General features: G+C 34.8%; 1 annotated feature.

The window, feature by feature from the left end:
• Positions 823–1324: an enhancer, noted in NCBI's record as "NANOG hESC enhancer chr11:37913389-37913890 (GRCh37/hg19 assembly coordinates)". NCBI's record gives its function as "activates a minimal SCP1, AML or CMV promoter by ChIP-STARR-seq in primed H9 embryonic stem cells {active_cell/tissue: H9 hESC(primed)}" and the evidence as "EXISTENCE:reporter gene assay evidence [ECO:0000049][PMID:30033119]".

Raw genomic sequence — 11018 nt, 5'->3', positions numbered from 1 at the left:
GAAACAAGAGCCAATTAAACCTCTTCTTCATAAATTACCATTTCTCAGTTATTTCATTTTAGCATTGTGAGAATGGACTAATACAGTAAATTGGTACCATGAGTGGAATACTGCTATAAAGACACCTGAAAATGTAGAAGCAGCTATGGAACTGGGTAATGGGCAAAGGTTGGAAGATTTGGAGGGCTCAGAAGAAGACAAAAAGTTGACAGAAAGTTTGGAACTTTCTAGATGCTTGTTAAAATGCTGTGAGCAAAAGGCTGAGGAGGTCTCATATGGAAATGAAGAACTTATTGGAAACTGGAGTGTATTAGTCCATTCTCACACTGCTATAAAGAAGTACCTGAGACTGAGTACTTTATGAAGAAAACAGGTTTAATTGACTCCCAGTTCTTCAGATTTAACAGGAAGCATAACTGGGAGGCCTCAGGAAACTTACAAATGGCAGGAGGTGAAGGGGAAGCAAGCACATCTTACCATTATGAAGCAGGAGGGAGAGGGAGAAGGGGGAAGTGCCACACACTTTTAAAACATAAGATCTTGTGAAAATTTACTCATTATCATGAGGACAACAACAAGGAAATCCACCCCCATGATCCAATCATCTCCTACCAGGCTCCTCCTCCAACATATGGGGATTACAACTCAATATGTGATTCGAGTGGGGACACAGAATCAAACCATATAATGGAGCAAAGGTTACTTTTGTTGTGCTTTAGTAAAGAGGTTGGAGGCATTGTATCCCTGGCCTAGAGATCTGTAGAACTTTGAACTTGAGAGGGATAACTTAGGGTATCTGGTAGAAGAAATTTCTAAGTAGCATAGTGTTCAAAATGTGACCTGGCAGCTTCTAACAGTGTATGCTTATATGCATGAGCAAAGAGATGTTCAGAAATTGGAAATTATTTAAAAGTGAAGCAGAGCATAAAAGTTTGGGAAATTTGCAGACTGACCTTATGGTAGAGAAGAAAAACACATTTTCAGGGGAAGAATTCAAGCTGGCTACCAAAATTTGAATAAGTAGAAAGAAGATGAATGTTAATAGCCAAGACAATAAGAAAAATGCCTCAAAGCTATTTCAGGAATGTTCATGGCAGTCCCTCTCATACTGGGCCCAGATGCCTAGGAGAGAAGAATGGTCCCCCTGCTCTGTTCAACCTTAGGGTACTGATCTCTGAGTCCCAGCCACTTCCAGCTTCAGTTGTGGCTAAAAGGGCCCCAAATACATCTCAGGCCACTGCTAGAGAGGATGCAAGACATAAGCCTTGGTGGTTTCCATGTCATATTAAGCCTGCAAATGCACAGAGAGCAAGAGTTAAGCCTTGGGAGCTGATACAGTTTGGCTGTGTTCCCACCCAAAATCTCATCTTGAATTGTAATATACATAATCTCCATAATCCTCATGTGTCAAGGGCAGGACCAGATGGAGGTAATTGGATCATGGGGGTGGTTTCCCCCATGATGTTATTCTGATAGTAAGTGAGTCTCACAAGATCTGATGGTTTTATAAGCATGAGGCATTTTCCCTTCTGGCAGTCATTCACTCTGTCTTGCCACCCTGTGAAGAAGGTGCCTGCTTATCCTTTGCCTTCTGTCATGATTATAAGTTTCCTGAGGCCTCCCCAGCAATGTGGAGCTGTGAGTCAATTAAACCTTTTTCCTTTTTAAATTTCAAGTCTCTGGTACCTTTTCATAACAGTGTGAGAATGGACTAATAAAGAGCCTCTGTCCAGATTTCAGAGGATGTATGGAAACCCCTGGATGTCAAGGCAGAAGTCTGCTGCAGAGGCAGAGCCCTCATGGAGAACCTCTATTAGGGGAATACAGAAGGTCAAATGTGGGATTGGAACCTCCTCACAGAGTTCCCACTGGGAAGTTTCCACAGAGTTATCCCCTGCCTAGTGGAGCTGGGAGGAGAGGGCCACCATCCTCCACACCCTAGAATGGTAGATCCACCAACAGCTTTCACTATGCTCCTTGAAAAGCCCCAGGCACTCAACATCAGTCTATGAAAGCAGAAATAAGATTTGAGGATGAAGATGACAAAAGATTTTTTTATTAAATATATTTATTTAGATTTAATTTCAGTGAGACAGAGAGTTCTTATCATAGCAAAGTAAACAGTTTTTAACAACAAGGAAACTAATATGATTATTGAATATACTTTCAAACACTTAAAGCCTTTTATGCTCTATTATCTTAATAATCCATCTGAATAACAAAAATGAATGTAGGGGAATTTTCTAAGTATTCCACTAAACTACCACTTAGACTTGTCAATATTACTGAGTAACATTCAAATTATTTATTCCCAAATTTGCACTCCCATAACTCCAATCCTAGCTTAAGTCACCATCAATTACTGTATGGACAGTTAATAATTTTCTAGTTGTTCTGCTAACTTATAGTTTTCCTGGAAATCCTATTCACTTTATAACTTTATGAAGCAAAATTCTGATTATATTACACACTCTGTTTATCAAAAACCACCACATTACCTACAACTTATAGCAAACTTGAATTCACTTCAAGAGTAAATCTACATATTTTTAGAGACTGAAGCTTATATGGTGTAGGAGGATCTTCTTAAAATCAGGTATAAATGTATTTTTTGAGAAAAAATAGAAATTCACAAAAAAACACAAATTAAAAAATCTAACAAATATCACAAAATCTAAAAATTTGTTCATATTTATTAATAAACTTTCATATGAAGCTATGACATATTTTCCATTTACTAGATACTCTTTGCCTTTTTCATTTGGCAAAGATTTTTATTACATAGCTTTCCAAAGAGAGAATACGAAGATATTTGTCTTTCTTTTAGTATAGGATTTTGAATAGGAAAAATAATGCATATTTGGTAGGGTCAAAGGTCACATATACATGTGAACAAATCTTACCATGCCTAATAGTGCAAGTAAGTAGGGAATGAAAGTTATACACACATGACAATATATTAGGATTACATCCACACATGTACACATACACATATGCACATACACACACAAAATTTAAATTAATAATGAATATATCCCCAACTCAATTTCCTTTTGTATGGATTTCATAACTTTGCCATCATGTAATATATGAAGAAATGCAACAGAGGAGAAAATCAGAGTGGAAAAATACACTATTCTAATCAATTGTTATTAAAGATGTTAAACCTTTGTAAATTAACCAAAAACCCACACAATTTTGTGAATATATTTTTAGTATCCCTCCATTGGGGGGCCCTGAATCTAAAATTTCACTCACAGTGTAGAAAATCTACCTATGAATAGTCATATATTATGAGTAATTCAAAGCTTTTTTTTTTCTGCAATAGGGCCTGAAACAAAACTTTCATACATTTCTTTCAATATTCCCCTTTGCACATTAATTTTCTTTACTCCCCCTCCAAACAATACTGTTGATCTTCAAAAGTGCTAACTACTCTCAAACTACTGAAATCAAACCATGCTCTTTGCTTCAGCTAAACACTCTGCCCTGTTCTTCAAGGCCCTCCTCTTTATGATCTATTTTTTTAATTAATGGAGAAAATAATATTTTTATCCGTTGGTCACAGAAAGCAAGCTCTTACCAAATTGTTTATTGTTATTTAGATCATATTTATTAAATAGATTGTCATACTTGTATTATTTAATCTCTCCCAGACTGGTTTTGAGATTGATTTTTCTTTGAATTCCCCTTAAAGATTTAGGAGACAGTGAACAAGGTTTTAAATCAATGAACACAATAAATTCTCCATTCTACTTGACCAGTAATAAAAAATATCTTATGTCCCATAAATTCTGGTTTGAACACATTGTCTTTAACAATAACAAAAAAAACACCATAAAAGTAAATTAAAAAATATTATTTAGTCTATATCTTAAACAAATAGGCAACATATATTTTATTAAAGTGCACCTTCTCCTAGTTGCCCAGAATTGAAAATAATTTCTTTTTATAATGAAATAGAAAGGAACACATTTATCTTAGTGGAATTTCTAAAGTATTTCACATATCTGTGTAATAATTTGTTATTCAAATAGAAAATTAAATGCAAACAGATGAGATAAAAAAATTAACATGTGTATTTCTAATGGTTTACAGAGCGTGAGATATTGGGGAGACCACATTTAGATTTCATTTCCATAGTTTTCTGCACAATTTCCTCAGATCCCAAGAAAGTGATCTGCAGGGTGGAGAAGCAGATGGAAGGGAAAGACTGTGCCATGGAGCGTGGTGGAGAGGTTTGGCCACACAGCAGAATTGACTCTCCCTAGGGCCTTTTCTCCTAAACTTCATTTTCACTTGAAAGACAGCAAAACTGAACAGTGACTTTAGTCTAGGACACCTTCAGCTAAGATGCTGAGATTCTATTAGCATTTTTATAGCTGCCCACTAGAAGTTTGCATGAATATGAAGTTAAAGGATGTTGTAGTCAAATTTCCCCCAATAAATCAGACATAACACTTTGATCCAGTACCTTCAGTGTTTATGATCCAGTACCTTCAGTGTTTAACTACGCCTCTTTGAGATTGTAAAATTGCATTTTTACCTCTAGCTGAGAATCAGAATTGTATTGTTATTTTTTGTTTTTAATTTGAAAGAAACCATTTTATAAGGGCACAGCACATTTTAAATGTGCTTTCCTTTAACAAAATAAAGGCAGCATACATTTTGGTAACCCCATAGAGTAACATAGGTCCTGGAATAAATCTTCTTTCCTTTATAATGAATGCTTAATTTGAAATGTGTACATTAAATGAAATGTGCCTTCCAAGCTGTGCAGCACAACTTAAAATACCTCCATTCATTGTCTTTGCTCCTCACCTCTTTGATCTTTTGCTTCACGACTGGTCATCTGTAATAAGGGACTTACAGAGACTGAGAGGGGATCTCAGAATGTCTTAAAGGTAAAGGAGAATGACTTGGTTCACCATCTACTCTTCACCCAGCTTTGCTGGATGAGAGTCTGGCCTCAAATACACATTTCCTTGTTCTAGTTGGTTTCTGTTTCCCCTTTCCTAATTGTTAATTTTTCCTTTCTCTTTTAATCTTGTTACTTTGAGCTATAATTTATGGATTTTCACACAGTTATTTTTTATCTTTAAAGAATCTCATGATCCAACAACTTTCTATCTTTACGTTCTTAGCCTGGGATAAGCAGTGTGAGCACTCGTGTGGGTATAGGTTATATGACCTTCTAGTCCATTCAGAAGACAAAAGAAGTTCAGCCAATACATCATCCTGGATTAGGAATCAGGAATTTTCAGTTGAGCCTCTAAGCAATTCTTTATTCTCAGTGTCCTCCTTCATCCTAGTGTCTATCTTTATGCTCTTTAAAGATCATGACACACAAAATAATATTGTTTTTCCATAACTATGGATCCAAAATTAGAAAATTGCTCTGGAATCATGCCATCTTTCTAAAGAATGTGCATGTAGACAGGTGGAATTCATTCAGAGAACTGGCCTGTCAACGTAGGTGAAACTTTATGAAAGCAACAAATGATCATCTTCTATTATGTGATCCACATCTACCTAATCCCTATAGCATAGTGAAATCATGGCACTGATTTATTCTTTCTTTAGTATTCATGTGAATGGACTCCTGCTCAAATACAACATTTATGATTAGCCTTCTAACGCCCTCCCACAGATATCTCAGGATTCTAATTCTATGTTAACTGATTGATATGGCCTGGCTGTGTCCCCATCCAAATCTCATCTTGAATTGTAGTTCCTATAATCCCCACCTGTTATGGGAGGGGCCTGGTGCCAGATAATTGAATCATGGAGGTGGTTATTCCCATGCTGCTGTTCTCTTGATAATGAATGAGTTCTCACAAGATCTGATAGTTTCATAAAGGGCTTTCCCCTGTTTTGTTCAGCACTTCTCCTTCCCACCATCATGTGAAGAAGGACATGTTTGTTTCCTCTTCTGTCATGATTGTAACTTTACTGAGGCCTCTCCAGCCATGACGAACTGTGAGTCAATTAAACTTCTTTTTTTTATAAATTACCCAGTCTCTTTTATGTCTTCATTAGCAGCATGAGAATGGACTAATACACTTATAGATACAGGAAAGGAAAGTAATAATAGTAACAATATCAACCATGAAAGCAATATTAAAAAGATTTCTCATTTATGTTATTCTTCTAAATGAAAGAAAAGAACATTTGAGGTGAATAGACAGCTAACAGCTCAGACTTAACCTTCCTTAGCTATCCATTTAGGTATATCTTTTAAGAAAACAATATAAAAAATGATAACCACAAAAGAGTCTACAATACAATCTAATCCATTATCAGCCACATTCATTGTAAGAAAGGACCTCTGAATCAAAAGTATGGAAGATTTGGTTGTGAAACAGGTAATTCATATTATATGTGCTTTTGAAATACTGCACCCCAGTAGTAGGATTTTGTCTCAGAAACAGGGCTGACAATGCATGCATTAGTAATATAATAAACAATATTTCAACCTCTAACAAGCCTCAAACTATGCTTCCTTCTCTGATAACAATTTCAGTTTTGGTACTGGCAGGTGTGATTGTACTAGACTGTTCCTCATTCTTACCCATAATTAACTGGAGCAGTGCTGACACCTGATAAAAAAAAATTATCAATACTGTGCTTTCATCTAATACTCTTGAATTAAGATCAAATGACTCTTTAACTATACTGGTCTTTCACTTAAACTGGGGTAAAGTGAGAGTTGGAACTAAGGCTGCCATTGTTGTGCACCTCTTTTGAAAATAAAAGTAGAAGTTAATGAACAAATAAAAACAACTCCTGTACCAGTAATTTCATGTCAAAAAAATTTCTGATGTATCTATTAAAAAATACATCCATTACCTTATTCTTATTATCATTCATATTCATTTTGTTCGAATGGACTTTAGTATGTTAATAGGGGATAAAAGTCTATACGATAATGGAATAAGGTACAAAAGCCATATCTTGTATCCTGACAGTTGTCTAGTCCAAGAAGTTCACAGATACCTTTCTCAGTCCTGTTCTTATCCATTTCTGGGTAGTTTTCTTGCTATTAGTGAGTTTACTTTATTTACTATTTATTTTTTGTTTTTATTTTTATTTATTTTTTTTTTGAGATGGAGTCTCACGCTTTCTCCCAGGCTGAAGTGCAGTGGCACGATCTCGGCTCACTGCAACCTCCATCTCCCAGGTTCAAATGATTCTCCTGCCTCAGACTCCCAAGTAGCTGGGACTACATGCACACACCACCACACCCAGCTAATTTTTGTATTTTTTAGTAGAGACGGGATTTCACCATGTTGGCCAGGATGGTCTCGATCTCTTGATCTTGTGATCTGCCCACCTCAGCTTCCCAAAGTGCTGGGATTACAGGCATGAGCCACCGCGCCCAGCCTAGTTTGTTTACTTTAAATCTGGTCATCTGGAGTATATTTTTTCCGATAGAGCATAAAATACAAAAAGAATGTCTAAGTTTGGCACAAGTTGTCTCAAATATATAATTTCCTCAATAATTCAAATTTCAGCAAACAAAAATTATGGAAATACTTTGGGCTCCCTGAAGTGCTAAAGGTAAAATCCTTAGCACTTTGGATATGAGGATTGAAGAACAGAAAGATGTTTGGGAGGGAGGAAAAAATATTTAGTCAAATCCATCTATCTGCCCAAGAGCATAGGGCTGAGCTGTGATTGAATTAAAAATACTGTTTGGGAAAGTGAGGAATAGTCATTAGCTGAAATTATACCTGAAATTTGGAATAGTCAGGAAAAGTATTCGAAATTTAGAAAGGCAGTATGGTAAAGTAGAAGATAACTTGCAATTACCAAGCTTCTATTTTCAACCAATTGACATTGTCATATGACTCTCATATCTTTTTACGGATACTTTCAATTGGTTGAAAATAGGAGCTTGGTAATTGTGAGTTGTCAATAGGTTCCTGTCAATAACTTCTACACAGCATCAACTCTGTTTTATCAGGGATCAATCGAGAAGACCCTTGCAGCCTAACTTTTGATAAAGTAACATCAGTTTCAGAAATCTCACCCTTCCTATTTGTCTATATCTCAGTGATGAACCTGGCCTATAGAATAAATTAAATCTAGTGACTTTCAAACAAATAGACCCAGATGTACTAAATGCAGTTCAAGGAAAATTAGGTCTTTTTAGCAATATATAAAACCAATAAAAAGTATGAAATTACTTTAGCGATATATTAGATAAACAGATATCCATAAATGCAATGGTAGTGATTAATGCTATGGGCTCTTGGGACCATATTTGCTATGTTTTATCTTCAGTCCTATGATTTGCCAGTATATATGAACTTGGGTACATTATGTAACTTATCTGTTCTTATTTCTTCATTTGAAAATATTCCCTATAAAAATTAAATGATTTAATACTTATGAGCCATTTAGCACTGTATACATATATTTTAGGTACTCGGTTGCCATTTTAGCTGTTATTATTGAAATTTATTACTAGATACTGTTATATTCTGAAAGTTTGTGTCCCCACCAAATTCACAGGTGGAAATCTTCACTTCAAATGTGGTGTTAGGAGGTGGGACCTTTAGTGGGTGAAGATTAGGTCATGGGGGCAGAACCCATGTGAATGGATTAGTGCTCTTATCAAAGAGGCCTAAGAGAAACCCATTTTCTGTTCTTACATGTGAGGTTAGAGAAAAGAGCTATTGACAAGAAAGTGGGCAATCACCAGGCACAAAATCTGATGGAGCCTTGATCTTAAACTTTCTGGCCTCTAGAACTGTGAGAAATAATTTTTGTTTGTAAGCCATCCAGTTTATGGTTTTTGTTACAGTAGCCTGAATGAACAAGACAGGTATGCATTTTCATAAGTAAAAATATCAGATATATTATGGAATCTTAATATTCTAGACTTCAGTTTTATATTTACAATGTAGATTAATGGTTTCCTTCTTGTTGTTGTTTTAATTACCCATGTGACACATACAATTTGTAAAAATGTCAAATGTTAAAATTAACCATACCATAATATAATTTTGAATGAGCTATACTATATTAAAATATATGGACTTATCTTTACTTAATTACTCATATTTATAATAATTGATATTTTTATAGTTTCTAAATTTCACCATTTAAAAAAGGTAAATTTAGTATTAATATAATTATATATGCAAATACATCTATATTATATACAAATACTTACATAAAATTATATATACTTGCTTTCTGAATCAGAGATTTAAAAAGGAATTGACTTTTTGAAGGTAGTAAATTATTTGAAATAACTTAGATACACTTTACAAAGACCAAGCTATTTGCAGAATTGCACCAATGTTGCAGATACATATCCATTTTTATGTATTCACAACTTTAGAAAGATAATCATTATAAATTAAAATATCTTTAGAATTAAGGATTCTAAGGATTTTTATAAAAGGATTCTAAGGATTCTTTTTATAAATAAATTTTATAAATAAATAAATTAGTTCTGAGATTTGTCAAAATTTTACAATGGATTTTGTACTCATATATTATCTGAGGCATTATGAATCTCTCTAACTTCCCAATAAAGTACATATGAAGTCACAAAAATAGAAAAAATATTGAAATAAGCACCCCCCAAAAAACACTTTTCAAATATTTTAAAGAATCTAGTTAATATACTATTAAGTACTTCAGAAAAAAATAAATTTTGAACAAAAATGATGGCCGCCTCCCCTTAAAACAGAAAGATATTGAATTTCAAGAAGTTGGCGGTAAATGTTGTGATTTCTCCTGTAATGTTTGGCTATTCTGGGTAATGTAATAAATGAATAACTAGGGAGTATTTCTCCAGTGCACAAAAAGTCATTTTTGAAACAGAGATATACGCATAGTCTTCCAAAAATGATCTCCTGGTATTTTTGGGGAATGATATGCCATTCCCCACTTGCTCCTGGTAGTTACAATATTTTCTTCTACAGCCATTCATACCTTAAAACTTCAGAGATATAATCAACAGAATACCATAATGGAATAAGTTACAAAAGCCTTATCTTGTATCCTGACAGTTGTCTAGTCCAAGAAGGTCATAGATACCTTTCTCAGTCCTGTTCTTATCCATTTTTGGATAGTTTTCTTGCTATTAGTTAGCTTACTTTATTTATTTTTTATGTTTTATTTTTATTTTTATTTTTTGAGATGTTGTCTCGCTTTTTCACCGAGGCTGGAGTGCGGAGGCACGATCTCGGCTCACTGCAACCTCCACCTCCCGGGTTCAAACTATTCTACTGCCTCAGCCTCCCAAGTAGCTGGGACTACATGAACGTGCCACCACGCCCAGCTAAATTTTGAATTTAGTAGAGATGGGGTTTCACCATGTTGGCCAGGATGATCTCGATCTCTTGATCTTGTGATCTGCCCACCTCAGCCTCCCAAAGTGCTCGGATTACAGGCGTAAGCCACCGTGCCTGGCCTAGTTTGTGAAATCTAGAAGTTCTCCCGCCAGAAAATGCAGGCGTGTTTTGGTGAGACAGGGGAAAAAATAATGACCTAAAACTTCTCAAATTCTCACCAGTTACATTGTTGTTAGACAGTAGAAACTAGGATATAAAATACAAATAAAAATTTAGTCTCCATTTTTAACTCAGGTGCTTTTACTGGCGGGGGAAGAGACAATGGCAGTTCCAGCACTTTTGGAAAAACATACAGTACAAAGGATAATCCACATATCTTTTTATTGGCAAAAGTTAGTCTACATAACTATCACCACATATGAGAATAAGTCAATATGTTTAAAATATGTTTTTAAAAATGAATTACTGAGACATAATAGAAGGTGCAAATTAAAAGGTAGGGAATAATTATGGAAATAATGTTCAAAATGAAATAAAAATCATGTTTAGGAAATATCTGCTTTTTATTCTTATTATAATGTAAAAAATGTGATCTGTGTATAATTATGTAAGATGTAGAGAGAGACATTTAAAAAATAAAAATAAGAGAAAAGCCTCTGCCTTCTGGATTTGATTGCAAAAAGAAATAAATACATCTTTTCCCCA

Source organism: Homo sapiens, chromosome 11, assembly GCF_000001405.40.
Source record: "Homo sapiens chromosome 11, GRCh38.p14 Primary Assembly".
Lineage (NCBI taxonomy): Eukaryota > Metazoa > Chordata > Mammalia > Primates > Hominidae > Homo > Homo sapiens.
Note: the sequence above shows the minus strand (reverse complement) of the source record. Positions and strands in the feature narration are given on the sequence as shown.